At 36.3% G+C, this 19,255-nt stretch overlaps 1 protein-coding gene across 6 annotated transcripts in view; it reads right to left on the bottom strand.

Annotated features, from left to right (window-relative positions):
• Positions 1–19,255, bottom strand: part of XIRP2 (xin actin binding repeat containing 2) — a 371,274-nt gene that overhangs the window by 3,379 nt on the left and 348,640 nt on the right. For 3 of the 6 annotated variants that reach the window (NM_001199143.2, NM_001079810.4, NM_001199145.2), the window contains 4 exons: positions 16,410–16,520; positions 15,639–15,711; positions 14,465–14,598; positions 2,210–2,343 (listed from right to left, as the gene is read on the bottom strand). In NM_001199143.2, coding sequence (NP_001186072.1) covers positions 2,210–2,343; positions 14,465–14,598; positions 15,639–15,711; positions 16,410–16,520 — 452 coding nt within the window. Of the gene's footprint in view, positions 1–2,209; positions 2,344–4,427; positions 13,807–14,464; positions 14,599–15,638; positions 15,712–16,409; positions 16,521–19,255 lie in introns of those variants that run through there. The other 3 variants (NM_152381.6, NM_001199144.2, XM_017003309.2) reach the window with 2 other exon arrangements.

The following is a 19,255-nucleotide window of genomic DNA, read 5'->3' as shown; positions in this document are numbered from 1 at the left end:
ACAATAAAAAGTGGCTTAAGAGAAACAGAAGAATGAAAACAACTTTTTCAATAATCAGAAAGAAATAAATATGAAAAGAATTTGAGAGAAAGAGACAGATAATAAAAATAGGCAAAAAACATTCAAGGTATAGATAATAGGAATTCTTGAAGAAAAAACTATATAATAAAACAGATTAAATATTAAATAGTTATAATTAAAACAAACTTTCTTGATACAAAAAAGCATGCAACAACATACAGAAAGAGCACACTGGGTAACTGACACTAGTGAAGAATGACCAATGCCAAGAACTAATCTAGTAAAATTGCTAGATTTTAAATAATAAAAAGAAAAAAATCTGTGGGTATATTTAAGAAAAAATATACATCTTATAAGGAAAATAAAATTAGATCGTTATCAAGCTATTCCAACACTTTATGCCAGAAGAAAATAAAATAATGTATCAAAGAATACAATGAAAGTATAAGCCAAAGATTTTAATTTCAGCAAAACTGACTTTTTGTTATAAAGGTCACAGACAAATTGTTATCAGCATGTAAGAATTCAACGAATATTGTTTCCATGAAGAGTTTAGAAGAGTCTACTAGAAACCAAGCTTTAATATCAGAACAACTGCAGAAACATCAAGGTAAGCATTGGTGGTGGGCATTAATATCTTGCAACCTGAAAACTAAGATGAAATAAGGGCAAAGAGGGAGATAACACGGTATGTAGTGGCTATATGATCTGAAACTGAAGATGTGGTACAATAATTTATAAAATGGGGAGGGCAGATGTAATTTTTAAATGTTTTGATAATGAAATTAGTGGTGCTAATAGATGATACTTGCTATGGGAATGGAGAAAAGTATATAGCTTAAGAGGTATTTATGGGGCAGAAATTGCAGGACTTGGTGACGGCTTGAATGTAGGGAATGAAGGAAAGGAAGGAGCCAAAGATAACTCCATGCTTTGGTCACTGAGTTAATGTTAATGTCATTTACTGATACAGTAGCATAAAGACTGTAAGTTAAAGAAGGAATTTAGATAGAAGAAAATGGGGCATATTGAGTTTGCTGTACTTATGAGAAATCTAATTGGAGAAGTATATCAGTCATTGAGATATAAGCATCTGATGCACAGAGAGATTTGGCCTAGCAGTACAGACTTCAGAGTCATTACCACATAGATTATTTAAATCATGGGAGTGGATGTGATTCACTAGAAAGAAGAGAAACGTTGAGAAGAATAAATTCCCATAACATAATTGTGAGGACCTCTTACATCTTGGTAATGGACAGAGAGTCCCCCACACAGGTGCCTGAGAAGGAGCACACAAAGAGTAGGGGAAAAGCCATTATACTCTGTTGTTATGGAAACCAAGGGAAAAAAATGTTGCCATGAGGGTGTTCGACATTGTCAATTAAAGTCAGAAAAAATATAGTGTGAGAGATGCACATTAGATTTAGCCAAAAAAAAAAAAAATCAATTTTAGCATCTCAGACTACAGTCACACCAAATGTCACATTCAGTTAAATGCATTTACTTCAAGAGTTTTGGAAAATGAATGCATTTTAACTGTGTGGATAGGGTGTTTCTGTTTGCTCCAGAGAAAAAACAGAGTTTTTCTCTTACCTGTCACTGATATTTTTCTAAATTTCAATTTCATTTTTAAAAACTTAGTCTAGCTCAAAGACAGGTAAATTCTAACCTACCCACCACTTGTTTTGGTATATGAAGTTTTATTGGAACACAGCCAAGCCCATTTATTTACAACCACACCCATTTGTTTAGTTATCTGTGGCTGCTCTTGCTCTCTAATAGAAATTGAGTAGTGACAGAAGCAGTACGGCCTGCAAAGCCAAAATTACTTATGATCTAGACCTTAACAGAAAATGTGTGCTACCTCCTGATCTGGAGTCTAGACTTTAGACTAACACACTAACTTAAAAATCTTGATTTGCAGAGTAACTCTTAATTTTACTCATCTGTGTGATTTTTGTGTTCAGACAAAAGGGATGCTTTTGGATTTGATTAGAAAAGTAAAATTCCTAAAGGAAAAAGGTCGCAGAAATACATCACAGAACATGAGCAAATCTCCCTGTGTGGTTGTGTTAACTGACGCAGCAACAAGATCTGGAAAAATGTGCATCCTCCTAGAGATATGAGGCTATACATAGAGTGCAGCTCCTGGAATATTTGTGGCAAAGACAATTAAACATTTTACCTTAGTTTACTGTTGCAATGGTGGCATCGGAAGCAGGACTTATGAAAATTCTGCTTGTCTGCCACTAGGCACTCCATTGGATAAACTGTCTTTTGACAAAGTATACATATTTCCTTGTCTTGGAGCAGCAGCTTCTAAAAATAAAAATTTACAAAGCCTTCTGTAGTGTTATCTTCAATCATATTGTAAAAACATAACAAAACAAAAACACATATTAACTGGCCATGCGGTTAAAGTAGAAAAGCTCTAAGACTACTGTCCTTATGATGTTTCTCTGGACAGAGACTAACCTATCATCAGGTTTAACGGTCTGCTAGGATGGTCTACATTACTCTAGTGCTTCTACCATTTATAGATTGTACGAGTAGACATTTATGATTTAAAAAAACATACATGAGTAAAATATGTTCATTAGACATATAAGTACATTACAAACATATATATGTGCATATATGTGAGTATATTTTTTATATATATATACATATAAAATACTCAGCAATGGGGAGCTCTGAGATAACTTATCATTGTAGGTAATTGAGTTTTCCCTATATATAAAGGCTTGTACCTAAGCTGGTCAAAAGTTTTTACTTCTTAAAGCATTTTAGATAGATCTTTCTAAAATACATATGTTTTTTAAGCCAAGGACACTGTATTTGCTTCAATATTTTCTTGATGACTTAGAGTTGACTGTAAGATACCAACTCTTAATTGTAATGCAATGAGACTCCTGAACACAGTAAAATGCTCAGGGTCATTTGTCCTCAATCTAACTGGCTTTAGATTGTGGAGCTTTTTGGATTCTCGCATCTGCTTATGTAGTTTTCCTACATCTTTTCTTGCTCCTCTAAAGCACCTATGCTCACTTCCTGTGGCTTTCCTGTAAATGTTAGCCTCTATGAATAATAGTGGTTCTATTACTAACCAGTGTTTGTATAGTGGTTTAAAACTAACACAGAACTTTCACTTCAGAATTGCTTTTTGTCCTCACAGCGATCCTGTGAGAATGACTAAGCTTTGGTATTAGTTATTTATAAAAGAAAATATGCTCAGGTTCCATTATACAAATAATTATATCTACTTTAGTGCCTAGATGGTCAATCTGGGCCACTGAGTGAACTCCTTTGCTTATTTGGTTCTAGTAGAGGACACATTTTTATGTTTATCACAAGTTTCTTTGTATGTTCTATGTGTTTTTGAGCTATCTTAACAGAAGCTGAGTATTTGAAATTAATTAGACAGCTTTGCTTAATTATGCCAGAAGCAAGCACATTAAGAACCATATTAACCTGATAAACTAGACACATATGTTGCAAATATGATGGAGGCATAATTATTAGTTTCAGCAGTTTTTATTTTTAAGCTTGCTATTTCTTTCAATCTGTCTAAAAGAATGGACTAAACTAATGATGCACATTAATTATATAAAATTCTTTTATCATGAAGCCTCATTAATTGCAAGAAGTAGGGAAATGAGCTGTTCTTTGATGTTAAAAATCATGTACTAAGTCCATATGATTTAAACCTCCCTCCTTCCAAATAAAATCAAAATTTTTAAATGCATTGTTTACGCTCATTTGTGAATGAGGTTGATTGAGCAGTGATTTAGTTTATTTTTTAGAAAAGCGAAAAAAATCAGTTAGAAAAAAATGTGGCATCAGAGAAAACTAACTCTATCCAACTCAGTAGCAATAGTTGAATATATAAAAGGTCTAATTCCACACCCACACTTTTGTCAGAGATACAGATCAATAAAAATACTAAAGCACACATGAAGAATGTAAATTGTGTCTCAGACTTCTATCAGTCTGTATTGAACTCAATGCAAATATCATTTAAACCTGGCAGTTAAAAATATGTCAATATTAGGCCAAAGGATATTATTTATTATTGTCTAGAATAATTGCATGAAATAAAATTATTGCTATACCTGTTGCTTTATCCAAAGCCTTATTTACCTTGACAAATATGTCCCAGTAATCTGTATAATAGTATTTGTTATTCTCACACAGTGCAAGTAAATCATACTCTATGCTTTTGTGAAAAGAATGTTGTAAAAGCAAGCATATAAAGAGTCTATAAGCATACATGGGAAGCTGTTAGTTTTAGGTTATATTGTTTGGTTGTTTCCACGCACTCTTTTTAACTGTACATCATTTTGGCTATGGAACACATGCCTTTAAATGGTTAATCTTCTTTAACACATTGCAAGCTCATTTACCACTTATAAATGCAGATTCCTCTTGGAAGGTGGTTCTCATCTCAGTTGCAGAAGCATCTGCGGTTGCATATCCCAGGCCTTTAAAAACTCTTCCACTCTCTTGCCACGTCTTTTGAAAATTTTTTCTTACTTCTTTAGGTGAATCAGAGATATCTAAAATATGTCCAGCAATGACATCCTCATAGGTTGGTGGGGCATGCTTGAAGTCACAGCCAGATTTGCCAGCTTCTGAGCTATGTGATGAAGAGGTTTTCATCTTCGACTCAACAATTTGACTCTCAAATGCATCCATGCCTGAGAAATGTTCACTTAGAGACCTGGTTTCAGAGCAGATCCTGGGCTGCTTAACAGGAATCTTTTCTCGCAGTTCTCTAGGATGTTTGCAAGAAAAGTCTGTAAAACTCGTGTTTCCTAAAGATGTTAATCCAAATTCCTCCTTACAAAATGTACGACTTTCTTGTTGTATGTTATGGTTTGTTTCTCCCTTTGCATAAACTCTTCTATTTGACTTTGCTTCAGAAACTGGGCCATGCTCAAATTCCCTGAACCATCTGTTTATTTCATTTTCAGGGTCATTCACGAAATTTTCAGCCATTTGAACAGTTCGGTTGGCCGCTTCATATCTCTGTGTGTGCTCTGACAGGCGAGGAGGCACTGCAACCTTGCGGATGATTTCAACTGCATCATAACTTTCAGTGTCGGGCACCATGTGATCAGTGGAATTTAGTCCATCTTTATGAACATAAGTAGCTCTCTTCTCCACTTTCCTGATTTCCTCTTGAGCGTCCACAGATTCTCTGAAGGAACCACTAGCAGCATGATTTATATTTACTGGTATTGTGATTGTAGGTGGAGAGTCCCTACCACGAGTTTCTATCTTAATTTGACGACGAAGTGTTGCAGGAGACATGATGATTTCAGACCTCTTCTCTACAATTGGAACCGGGGTTGCTGCTGGACATGGGATGGCCCCTTTGGATAACTTTGCAGTGGTGTCTTTGAGTCTGACAAGTTGTTCAGAGCGACTCCTGGGTGGAGAAGGGGAAGTGTTTGCTCTGTGAATTTCAGATTTTTGCGACATGGGCCTTCTTGGTGGGGGTTCAACATAACTGTCCTTTTTAGGGGACTGAGAAAGCTCGTTCTTAGTAGGGTTTTCTGTTCGTCGGGCAGTAGATTCTATTGTGATAAAAGTTGGTGACGGTGGGCGTGTTTTTAAAGAGGGAGGAGGAATGTTGCTATCATCAAGTTTAATTTCCTGATGGGTTTTCACGTGACTACGAACAGTTGCTTCATGATGAGCTGCTACTTGGTGCTGTACTGTTTTCTCTTTGGCAATTTTATTTTCTTTCTGTTCACTATTTTTATTATTGCTGACATGAACATTAGATACTTTGGATGATGTTTCATCAAGACTAGTGGGTTTATTTCCCGGTTTTCCTGTTTTGGAGGACATCATGGCTGTCTGAATTATATTTTCATAGGACACAAGCATATCTTCCGCTTGAGTTTTAATATGTGTTATTTCTTCTTTTACTTTTTCTAAATTATTCTCCATGGCAATGTGAACTGCATATTCTCTCTTATCTTCACTTATCAGCCATCCTGGGATAGTATTTAATAGTGTCTGAAATGTTTTAAGGCCACTTTTATTTGGCTCTGCTTCAAACTGTTTCACTCTCGACAAAATCTGTTGCAGTTCTTCACGTTTTCTCAAGAATTCCACTATATTTAAGGCACCTTTTCCATCATCCCGCTGGGATTCTTTCACAGAGGAAAAGAAAGATTTGTTCTGTGTAATCTCTTGCTTTGAATCTTTAGTATTAGAGAAGACTTGTTTCTCTTGTATGCCCTTGACTTCGAGACATTTTTCTTCCTGCAGACTATTATATGGCTGGGGCAATTTTTTATGTTCAGCTTTACTTTCAGCGGTCTGTATTTGTGTTTGCTGAAAATTCTGAGTCTGTGAATCAAGATGTGCATCGATAACCTTTTGCTTGACGACCTTTGGTGCTGATTTATTCTTCAGATGTTCGTGTTTTCTTTCAGTTATTAATCTCTCTTCTTTTCGACCAATCATTGATGGTCCCTGATTTTTTTCTTCACTTCCTGGAAGTTTCCCTCTGTCAGATCCGCTAAATTCTCTTTGCTTCCTGGGAACCATCTTGAGCTTATCTTCCTGGTTCTTCTGTATGGATTCTGTAGGCAATTGTACTGTCACTCTTTTCTCCTTCTTAGGTAACTGATAATGTCTTTCAGCCAGAGATTGCTTATGACTACATTCAGTGCTTGCTTCAGTTTTCTTGGTTTTCAGATATTGTTTTTTGGTAAAGGTTTGAACATCAATCTCAGATTGCTGTTTATGACTTTCATAGCTGTGGTCTGTTTCATTTAATGTATGATCTAGAGTTGGAAGTTTGATGGTTTTAACTTTGAAATTTGGGGAAATTGGTTTGCTTTGGGGCAAGTGCAACTGCTCCAAATACTTCTTCTGTTGTGTTTGTTGGGTACTACATTCTTGGTGACTTTGTTTAATTTCGCAAGCTGATTTGGATTGCATAATGTCCCTTGAGCTTTGTAAAACTTCCTTTTTCATCTTATCTTTGTCTTCTGAAGCTGCTAAAACATGGTGGAGCCTCTTGGCAGCGACTGTTTCTGGCGATGTTGTGGAGAGTTGGTTATCAGAACACACTCCTAGTATCCGAGCATTACTTTGAGAGCCTGGGCTGGGTTGAACCACAGTGCATTCTGAATCAATTCCAGATAGGGAAACCTCCTCATTGGTTTTTTGTAATGGCATTTCCTTTTCCACCTCTGTTATGTGTTGATTTTGGCTTTGAGTTTTAACAATGTTGTAGTAAGAACTCTCCTGTTTCTGTTTTTCAATTTCTTCTTTTTGTTGTCTATATTTTTCTTCAGCAATCATTAAAGGTGTCTTAAATTTTCTCATATAAGGTTTTGGATTTTGTTGTCCTGAACTCTCTGGAAATGAATGAGATTTTATAAGAGGCGCAATCTGTTTTTTCCTGGGTGCTGAAGTTCCTGGAACTGTGTGTGAGAGACAGTTTGCAGAGTCAATAGATAATTGTTTTCTTTCATCAAGACTCTTACTAATAACGTTCTGCTTTGTCTCCGTGTGTTCACTGCTGGTCATCACCATTACTTTTTTCTGATCCTTTGAGGTAGTAATTTTACATTCCATATCTGACAGGGAGGTTGCCAGTTCAACTTTGGGGGAAAAATCGTTCTTATTATCTTTTATATGCTTGGGAAGTTTGGGTTTGGGCAATGTGGGAGGTGGCAACACACCGGTTTTTCCTGTTATGATTTTAGCCTGAGAATTCTGAGAGTTCGAGGCTTCTTTTTGGGAATATTGTTGCATGAAGTCTCCACTGTGCTTTTCCGGAGCAGAGGAGGAAAGGAGATGTGCTGGCTTTTGAGATGGAGTTGGAGGAGGAGGAGGCGGCAGAAACATCGATGAACTTTCTCTTTCAGATTTCTCATCTACTGGAGGTGGAGGAAGAGGGAGGCCTGGAAAACTTTCAAATTCAGCCTTTATCTTCTCTGTGGACAGTGAGGGAAGAAACCCATTTTTTTCAGGAAACATCATCAAAGGAGGTGGAGGAGGAAGAGGAAATTCAATTTCAGATGATGCATTAGAAGGTGGTGGAGGAGGTGGAGATGGAGGTGGAAGGGGGCACTCACTTTCTTTTACATTATTCTCAGGGTTAAAGTTGATTGGATTCAAGGACCTTTCCATTGCCATTTTTAAGCCTGTGGAAGTATTTGTTTTCATTAGAAAGTCCTGGCTTTTCAAGTGAACATCAGTCTCCCGCTTTTTGTTGGTTGCCTTAAATGTATTGTGACTTTTTTCAGAGACTTTCATTTCTGTTACATTGGATGTGTCTTGCTCTACAGGCAAAAGCTGCCACATTGGTTGAAGGTTTATATTCTTTTTCTTTATATCCTTATTAGAATATTTTGTTTCTTGCTTTAACAAAGTTTGCTTCTGAAAGTCCCCTGAAAGGTCGTAAGTTCCTCCAACTGGCATGCTGACTGGATGCTGGGTGGGACTGGGCTTGGAGCTTTGTGTATCAGTTAATATTTTAATATTTTTGGTCTTTTTAGGACTCTTTATATGAAAACCCTCCATTTTCTGGTGGTCATTTCTCAGTTCATATGTCTGTTGCTTTCCAACGGTTTTACCAGCAGATTGGATGGAATTAAAGACATCATCCTTCTTCAGCTCTCTCACTGCCCTGTCTGATTCTTTAGTTGTTAGATTATTCTTAACTGACACAGTTGAAGTTAATTGTCTGCTCATATATTCATCTCTAAGATGCTGTTCTCCTGTAGTATCAGTCCAGACACCCGTTTTGTCTCCTGATTCCAAAACATTAGATTTATGGTGTGAATTAGATAGTCTTCTAAGGCTTTTCTCCAGAGCATCATTGTTTTGTTCACGATCTATGACAATCTTTACAGTGCCTTTGGGGGCTTTTGGAAGATTAACCTCAGTTCTTTCTTCTACTAAATTGCCATGGCAAGATTTCCCCATAGTTTGACTGAGAGTATCTGCTCCCCCTTGCCACTTGGCCGCTGGCTCAAATGGACCTGGCTTTGGCTGAAGAAGACTATTTTTGTTCCTCTGGACAGCAACCTGATGAATATCTGTTTTCTGCTCTCCCGAGGATCCTGCCATCACAGCTTTAGCATCTTTTTTTATTACACCTTCTTTATGTACCTCTTTGAAACTTCTTTGTGCTTCTTTCAAAGACCTTAGTGATGTTTCCAGGTCATCTTTGAGAAGCTCCTTTTTCAGAATTTCTGTCTTTGTATTTGTAGCTTTTTCAAGGCATTCAATAGCTTTTTCAATATCACCAGGGATGGCATCAGGCTGTTTAGATTCTTTCCATCGATGGCTTGATTCTTTAAGTGACTTGAGTGTGGCTAGCATGTTACCTTTTATAATTTCTTCTGTTTTCGTCACTGTTTTCTGATTTACAGCCTGGCTGAGGGAATTTAGGGTTGATGTCAAATCACCTTTTATAATCTCTTCTTTGGGTATCTTACCAAATGTACTCTGAGGCTCGGTCATAAAAACCTTAACTGTGTTATGCACATCTCCAGGGATGATGTCAGTTTCACTAACAGTACGTTCAACCAGAGACTGCCTTTTCTTCAGTAACAGTTTTGTACCTTCAACATCACCACCAATGATTTCTTTCTCTCCTTCTTGTTTCTTAGCTGTCAGTGTTTCATTTGACTCTGTGTGGAGTTGTTTCAGATAATCCAAAGCTCCAGCTTCTATGCAGGTTGTGAAAAACTGAACATTTCCTCTCTCAGAGGCATCAATTTTAGCCCTTTCAGATATTTTATTGTTTGATGTGGAAGACAATAAATTATGAATGGTACGTTTGACATCACCACCTATTACTTCTTCACGCTCAATTGTGTCACCATCATTTTCATGAAGAAGACAATAGATAGTCATGTTAATATCTCCTTTTTCATCTTCCTGAATTAAGATGCCTTTCTTTACAGATCTTTCCTCAGAGAACAGGTTTTTTATTGCTTGTTGTACATCACCTTTCACTATCTCTTCTTTTTCAGCATGAAATTCAGTTGATCTGTTTAATAATTGAGTTTTAGTCAAATTAACATTTCCCTTCTCTTCTTCACTAATCAAAATCTCTCTTTCAGTACAGTCCCTTTTGGAAAGTAGGTTCACCATTATATTTCTGAGATCAGCCCTGATAATTTCTTCTTTCTGTATCTCAGGAGATGCTTGGTTCATTAGCTTGTATTTTGCCATTCGAACATCCCCTATTTCATCAGCTTCAATGATGATTCCAGGAGCCTGGATAACTTTTTGAGAGTAGAGATCTTCTAAGGTTTCTTTAATGCTCTTGCCAATAATTTCTATCTTTTCTACTCTAGTTTCATTAAATTCATGAAGTGGTGTTGTTTCAAAGAGCCATGTGGTTGTTTTGACATCAGAAGGAGGGATTTCTTCCTTGGTCATTTTTGTGATACCTTTATGTGCTTCCATAATAGAATCGAAAGTTCGATTTTCAAAAAGCCACACAGCCTGCTTAACATCACCTTTCTGCACATCTTCCTGAGTGACTGTCTTGATATTTTCATATTCTAACCCTTCTCCTCTCAGTTCATCCATAGTGTGGGTTTCAAATAGCCAAGTAGATGTTTTAACATTGCCCTTTTGTATTTCATTGACACTTACTGTTCGTATATAGTTATTCTTATCAAAATTTTCAGACTCAAAGAATTGTCTACTTGTCTTTACATTGCCACCTTGTATATGGTCAATACTGGGCATAATATTATGTGATTCTTCAGAAATCTGATCCAGTGGCTGAGTTTCAAATCTGTATCTGACAGAACTAACATCTCCCTTCTGAATGTCTTCTTGTGTGACAGATTTAATAACATACACAGTTTCTGATTTATTAATAGAGTCTAATGGCTTTGTTTCAAAAAGCCACCTTGTTCCTCGCACATCTCCATGAATTACCTCTTCTTTTTTAACTGTGGTCACTTCATGATAGGACCCTTCTCGGTCTTGAATTGCATAGAGTGGCTGGGTTTCAAAGAGCATTCTGTAGCTTTTTACATCACCCTGTATTACTTCTTCAGTAATTGTTTTCTTGGTGCTGATATAGTCAGATTCTTCTTTAATCTCATCTAAAGAAAAAGTCTCAAAAATAAAGCACCCCTTTCTTACATCCCCACCTTGTATGTCTGTCACCGTCTTAACACATTCATCACCTTCTTGGCTTTCTTTTATCTTATCAATTGGTTGGTTTTCAAAAAGCCACCTACAATTTAAAACATTGCCTTTCTGAATATCTTCAGTTTTTAAGGTTTTGATCTTTTTCAAAACTTCCTCTGAACTAGAACTTATAGAATCTAAGGACTGATTTTCAAATTTATACCTCATGCTGGAAACATCTCCAGCTTGTATATCCATTTCAACAGGCTTGATTTCCTTCACTTCTTCTCCTTGTATGCTGTCCAAATTTTCTGTCTCAAAAAGAAAACATGCTGTACGAACATCCCCACCTTGGATCTCCTCCTGTTTTACAGTTTGCAATTTGACTGCTGTTTCAGAGTCATCTTTTATGGTATCAAGTGGCTGAGTTTCAAAGAGCCAAGTACAAGTTTTGACATCTCCCTTATGAATTTCTTCACTGCTGGTCATTAACGAAACTTTTTCATAAAGAGACTCCATTGGCTGGGTCTCAAAAAGCCATTTACAGGTTTTGACATCCCCTTTAACAATATCTCTAGTTTGTTCAGTTTTACTTTCTGTTTCTTCCACATCACTAAAATATTTAATTGAATCAAGAGGTTGGGTTTCAAACAACCATTTGGCAGATTTCACATTTCCAGTCTGTATTTCTTGAGCAGATATTCCTCTAATTATTTGAAATTTATGAATGCTTTCATCAAACTGGTCAATGGGCCTTGTTTCAAAAAGCCACCTACAGCTTCTTACATCACCTCTTACGATTTCTTCTTGCTGGACTGTCTTTACTTGATGATATTTTCCAAGGGGATCTTGAATGGCATACAGTGGTGTTGTCTCGAAGAGAGATTTATTTAACTCTACAGCACCTCTTGTAACTCCTTCCACCTCTATTTTATGTGATGCATCAAATTTAATTAAATTGTTTGATTCAAAGATATGTGTGTAATTCTTCACATCTCCTCTGTCAACTTCTTCAAGTTTCACTGTTCGTGTGTACTCCTTTTTATCTTTTCTAATGTCTTCCAGAGGTTGGGTTTCAAAAATCCATTTTTGATGCCTAACATCCCCTTTTTCTTCTTCAGAGGCAGTGATTTTTTGAAGCTTTCCTATATCAGGACTGTCTTTTAATGCTTCAATTGGAAGTGTTTCAAATAGATGCTTAGTAGTTTGTACATCACCACCTATTATCTCCTCACGTTGTAGAGAATCTGCATCAGGAACTTCTTTTAGAATGTCTAATGGCTGGGTTTCAAACATCCAACACTTTCTGGAGACATCTGTACCTATTATTTTTTCCTTTTCAATGATGACCTCTTCTGACTCTTTGATTTTCTCCAAAGGTTGGGTTTCAAATAACCACTTTGCCTTACTCACCCCACCTTTGACATTTTCTTCCATGGATATTCCTCGGACAACTTTAATTTCTGTGATATCTTTGTTAATTGTGTCCAACGGCTGTGTTTCAAACATCCACCGTGCTGTTCTTACATCTCCCTTTTCAACGTCTTCTCTGTGAACAGTTTTAATTTCCAGCATTTGGCCCGAACCATCTCTAATAACATATAATGGTTGAGTTTCGAAACATTTTATACTTCTTTTAACATTTCCCTTAATTTCTTTGAGCTCAGACCTAAGCTGCAGTAAATGAACCTCATCCACTGAATGAAGCTGTCCAAGTTGATCTAGATGTTGAGTTTCAAACATGTATCTCACAGTCTTGACATCCCCCCCAGTTATGTCCTTACTGATAGTTACCGCTGATTCTTCTTGACTTTGATGCATTTTATTCATTGAGTCCAATGGCCTTGTTTCAAACATCCACCGAGCTGTGCAGACATCTCCTCTGGCTAGCTCAGGAATTTTCTCTGCATTTTCTACAGTGTCAGAAGAATAAGCCCCAAGTGTGTCGATGGGTTGGGTTTCAAACATCCATGTGGTATATTTCACATCACCACCAGCAATGATTTCTTGATCAGCAATGCCCCTGGAAATATCACCTTCATCAGGAGAGCCATTGTTGATGGAATCCAATGGTTGATTCTCAAAGATCCATCTAATGGACTGCACCTCTCCCTTCAGAATTTCATCCCATTCCAAGTATTCTCTTTCTGAGTTCAGATCTTTTTGAGAACTGTCATTTGTGTTTTCAAAAACATACCGGGCTTGTTGCACATCTGCTGAGACTGAACTCCCTGAGTTCATTTGACTAGAAACAATCTCAGAAACTTCACTGATATAATCTTTTTCTAAGTTTTTTCTTAACTCAGGATGGATGTGTTTATATAAACGGTTTAATTCATACAAATTTCTTTGCTTGGAATATACATCTTTGGGGACTGGTAGTCTTCTAGGAGGACTGGGCAGTTCAGGGGACTGGGAAAATGCTGTCACATCTACTGAAGTTTGAAGTACGTCAGGTGGGGGAGGAGGAAATTCTTCTGTCATTCCTGAAGAAGTAGCATTAATTTGTGCCAGAGTTGAGGAAGTGACACTGTGATCACTATATCTTGTAGTTGATGTTTCCTTCCTCTGGCTGGTTGAAACGCAAGAAGTGGAAGAGGTACTCACAACTGATGATGGCTTGAAAGTCTCTTCATATTCACTTTCAGTCTTTAGGGGAGAGAAAATCAAATCTTATAAAGGTGAGTGTAGTGGCAGAGGCTTCCTAGGCACTGCCCTTCATTGGTCTGTAACCTGGACCCTCCTATGATATCTCCATTGGGAACAATATGTGATATACTCATTTAAAGACCAACTTAGGAATAATAGTCAATATTTGTCACTATCTCTCCTATAATCCATTTTTACTTGTAAAGTTATATTTGCTATTCAATGCAACAAGGACTCAATATTTTAAAATTTACACATAATCGTGATTCTTTTTCCCTTAATGTGGTATGCAGAGTAATCTAGAGGGAAACAGTAAAAGTCTTAAAGTACTTTTGAGGGTTGTTTCATTTTCCTTGGAATTTAAAACAGAACAGAGTAAGCATCTGGCATTTAAAATTGATTTAATTACTTTAATGTTAATTATTAGACTTTAGAACATATATAATTTTTTCATCCCTTATTTTCTGCTAGTGAGAAAAGTTTTTACTCTACCTCCTTTTGCATGCAGGTCAATATTCTCCTTACAGAACTGAATAAATGCCAGTTCAGAATTTTTTTTTGTTGAAAAGCCACCTCAAGTATTCAATAATTTGAAAATGTTACACATTTAAGCTTGGTCTTACACTTAGTATGTTTCTGTGTAAAGAAATGACTTTACCTTAATCTGCTTGGCTGGGGTTGTCATCTCTTTGTCAGAATAAAGGATCTTTTCCTGGGCAGACTTTTCAAACTGCTCTTTTAACAACTTAGTCGAAACCTTTGGAATCTCTTCATCCTCAGGTGTATCAATGACTACAAACAGAAAAACACACCAGGGTTACTATGTAATTACTAAAAATTATGTTTAAGAAGAAATTATGGCTGGGCATGGTGGCTCATTCCTGTAATCCCAATACTTTGGGAGACTGAGGTGCGAAGATTACTTGAGCCCAAGGGTGTGAGACCAGCCTGGGCAACATAGCCAGACCCTGTCTCTACAGAAATTATTAAAAAAGATAAAATTATAATGCTATGGGAAACTTCTCACAGTGTACATTAAGTAAAAAGATTCAAGGTACAAGCATGCATATGGCATTATTTCATTATGTAATTTAGGAATATAGGAAGAACTATAGTAAGACAATACAGGAAGAAAAATGTTGGTTATCTCTGGATTTTCCAAATTTTCTACAAGTATGTTCTACTTTTATGCTCAGGAAAAAATAATAAAATGTATAAAACAAGAAAAGGAATTTCAGAAGACCTACTTCCTTAAGCAACAAAATCAAAATAAAGATATAGTCATGTAATCAAGTAAAGTTTCGGTCACAGTTGGCTTAAATGTTTTTTTTTTAGCTCTTCAGGGTAGCAAAACCCATTCCATTTTTATAGACAAGACAAACTATGTCCAGTCTTGTGCAAACTTGCAGAAATTTGGCTGTAGTCTAATCTCATATCTACAGGTTGGAGAGCCAGACTTAATAGTACTTAAATCTGTTATTAAAATTAATTCAGTCTAGATAACAACTCTATTCTCAGGGAGCTTGATAAACATTAAGTTTTACTGTAGGTCCCTGAGGCAAAAAGGAATTCAGAGGTGGTTAGCTTTAGGGTTTAGAATGGATATATCATAGGACTGATGGCCAATAAACTATTTTAGAAACTTATTGCACCTATGACCACAGGCAAAATCTAATTATTTGTAGAAATACTACTCAGCTCTCCCTGGAACCATGAGTCATAGTTACTAAAGTTACTCAGAGGGGAGGACTGTGCTTTGGAAGTCATCCATTCAAAATCAAACACATCAATAGGAGAAAGGAGTATTGGAACCAATAATACCAGACTCTTACCAGTTTCTTGAACATATTGATGAAACTGAGATGCTTGGTTTACTTCCTCGGTGTGCTTTTCAAGATGAGAGACCTGTATTTAAAGAGAATTTGAAAATAAATTGTTTTTAAGAAGTCAATTATTTTAGTACTACAAATAATACTCTTCATTTTACAGTGATTTTCACCCAAGACTTTAGTGTACATTGAGAGATGCTAATTAAGCTGCTATCATTTATTTTAATACATAGATTCGCTTATAAAAGAATATATTTGAATTGACATCCGAAGAGGAATCATACTTTTATAGGGTGCCTATTTTACATTCATTTATTTATTTATTGAGAAGGAGTCTTGCACTGTCACCCGGGCTGGAGTGCAATGGCGCGAACTCGGCTCACTGCAACCTCCGCCTCCCGGGTTCACGTGATTCTCCTGCCTCAGCCCCCCGAGTAGCTGGGATTACAGGCACATACCAGCACACCTGGCTAACTTTTTTTGTATTTTTAGTAGAGACAGGGTTTCACTATGTTGGCCACACTGCTCTTGAACACCTGACCTCATGATCTGCCTGCCTCGGCCTCCCAAAGTGTTGGGATTACAGGTGCAAGCCACCGCGCCTGGCCCTATTTTACTTTTAAAAGAATTCCAACTTGAAAGTGGAGAAAGAAACACTGATAGGTATTGATACTAGATACATGAGTGACAATAAATGCAAATGCTTACAACAAAGTCATAATTTCCATACAGTCCTGGAAACTGTTTGAAAGTACTGCCTTTCTAAATAGTTACCATTTCTGTTCCATGAACATCAATTTTCTGTACTTTGGACCCTTCTTGTTCATTTCTTGCCATTTCCTGGCTGCTTCTTGAAGTGCCAACCTGGCTGCTATGAATTGCCTCCTGAAAGCACACAGACAGACAGACAATGCCTTAAGAAAAGTAAAAATTTTAACTTTTTTTATTTGTGCAATTTCAGTGACAATTTCTGAAAAAAAATGAGATTCTTTAGTATATTAGTTTTCTTGGCTGCTATAACAAATTACCACAAGTTTAGTGGCTTAAAATGGCATAATCTTAGGATCTTATACTTCTATAGGTCAGAAGCCCTGAATGAGTCTTCCTGGGTGTTGGCAGGTATCAGATAGCATGCATTCTGTTCTGCAGGCTGGAGGGGACAATCCATTCCCTTGCCTTTTGCAGCTTCTAGAGGCTGCCCACTTCCCTGGGCTAACAGCCCTTGCCTCTATCAGACTGAGAACTTCTCACACTGCCATCTAACTGACACTGTCTTCCACTTTTAAGGACCCTTATGATTACATTGGACCAACCCAGATAAGCAAATATTATCTCATTGTCATAAAATCATCTAATTAGCAGCCTTAATTCCATCTGCAACTTAATTCTCCTTTGCCATGTAATTTAATGTATTCACAAATTCTGGGGATTGGGACATAGTTATATCTGGAGACCATTATTCTGCCTGCTACACTTAGCAAGCAAAAATGTTAATGATGTATTACCCAGTATGAGAAAGATGAGCCTGAAAAAATATATATGTATTTTTTTTGTTGTTTACAAGCCACATTTTTATGTTACAAAAAGACATACTAGTCTTCAAATTGGCCATCCAGTACAATGACATATCCAGAGTTCAGTTGAAGAATATAACCATTAAATGTAACCAATATAAATTATTATGCTAGTTTATGTCTCCCTATCTTCACATGTGGAACTACTCTTAATTTTGGTTAAGTTAGAACAGTTGAACCTGAATGAATTGCAAACTTGGAGCTCCTATTAATTTTGGTGATCCAGTCCTGCTTTTACTACAGAATATGATTCTGACACAAGTATATGATTGATTGATTGATTGATTGATTGATATGATGAAGCAGTTAGCATACTGCTAAAAATCTTAACATTCAAAAATAAGGATACAGACAGATGACTCTTTACAATAACATGTTTTTGAATGTGCCTGAAGGTGGGACTTCACTTTTATCTTGATATCCAAATGAATAATAAATATTATTTTTGAGATTTGACTTTTAAAAATTTGTCTTAGTATAGAATAGTCAAGTGAGCATGGGTATATTATCATTATTAATTAAAATAGTATACTAAAACGTTTTTTGCAGTAAGTTAAAACACTTTACACTATCAAATCCCAATATCTTAAACTAATAATTGGTATAAAATTAATGCCAGTAGATGTATGAGACTTTTTCCCTCAAGGGTATTTGGTGTACAGGGTTTAAAATCTCATCAACCAAGGAGCAGTTAGTCATGTAGTTAGAGATGTTATAGTAAAATCTGATCTTATGCTTTTCTAGGAAGGAGAATTAAGAAAAAAATGTTGAGGCCTTCCTAGAAGTCCTACAAAAAGCCAAAGACAAAATATGGACTTACACGTTTAAATGTAGATTGTATCTCATTAAATTGAAGACCACTGTAATTTTTTTTCCAAGCAGAATGCTTCCTAGGCATAGTTAATAATCCACATATTTCAAGTGATATTTGATAATATGTTTAACACACAGTTTGTGCTAAGGAAAAGTTCACATAATGAATAAGTGAGGAATGCATACATGAATAAGATAGCAAACTTTCACTGATACATTAATTCTATTCAAACACCTACTTGCGAGGAATGTTCTCAAAACTGAGGATAGAACAATGAACAAAGTGCTTTAGTTTCTTGAGAAGGATCCATATTCATTCCTTCAAGTTCAAAGAATCAGAATTCCATATAACAAGGTGCCTTGCATAATCAAGTTTTATTTGAGGCTACCAATAGCATTATGCTAGAGACAGCAATAACAATCATTGACAACTGCAGATATAAAAAAAATGCATGGGCACTAATGACAGCTCTTTACCTCTGTGACAAGTCTTTCCATCTATTAGGCATATAGTGGGAATATTCTATGGCTTTCTTATGCACACACTGAGAAATAGGAAGTACCAATTAAACAGTGAAGTAGCAAAGGAGAATGTGCACCTGATCAGAACCAAGGTCCCTATGAGGGGCACCGTGATCATTTCTATAGAATCATGTCTCCGCCTAGAGGCCTACATGCCCGCTGAGGCCTGGGGATGTGCTTTATTTGGCCCACACAGTGATTTTAAAGTTTCGAATTAGGTAACATCTACAAAAATAAAAAATTTTTTCTGCTTTTAAAAACTCTGAAGACATGGTAACACTGTGTTCATATTTTAACATGGCAGAGTCTGGCTTTTAGTTGGGCATATACCTTGTAGTTGGCCACCATCACTATCACTTGCTAATATTTAAGAGCAAGATGACATTTAAAAAAAAAAGCAACAAAACTTGTCTGGTACCCATGGAAATTTGAGTTTCAGATACCTGCCACCAATCTGAAAGAGTAGAGTTAGTGACATAAATCTCTGTGTTGAGAAAAATGCAAAATATTTGGAATAGAAAAACTGTAAATAAATGTAATTTTGACACATATTTTAAAAGTTATTTTCTGGGACAAACACTTTGTAGTTAATATGTATCTACTTGAGTAAAAACAATCTATGCCTATCATCTGTAAATATGTTTTCTTGTAGGAGATGACACAAAATAAACAGTACAAATGTACATAAATTTTGTTTAAAGTCGTAAGTTT

This window comes from Homo sapiens, chromosome 2, assembly GCF_000001405.40.
Source record: "Homo sapiens chromosome 2, GRCh38.p14 Primary Assembly".
Taxonomy (NCBI): domain Eukaryota; kingdom Metazoa; phylum Chordata; class Mammalia; order Primates; family Hominidae; genus Homo; species Homo sapiens.
This window is presented reverse-complemented; position numbering and strand designations above follow the sequence as displayed.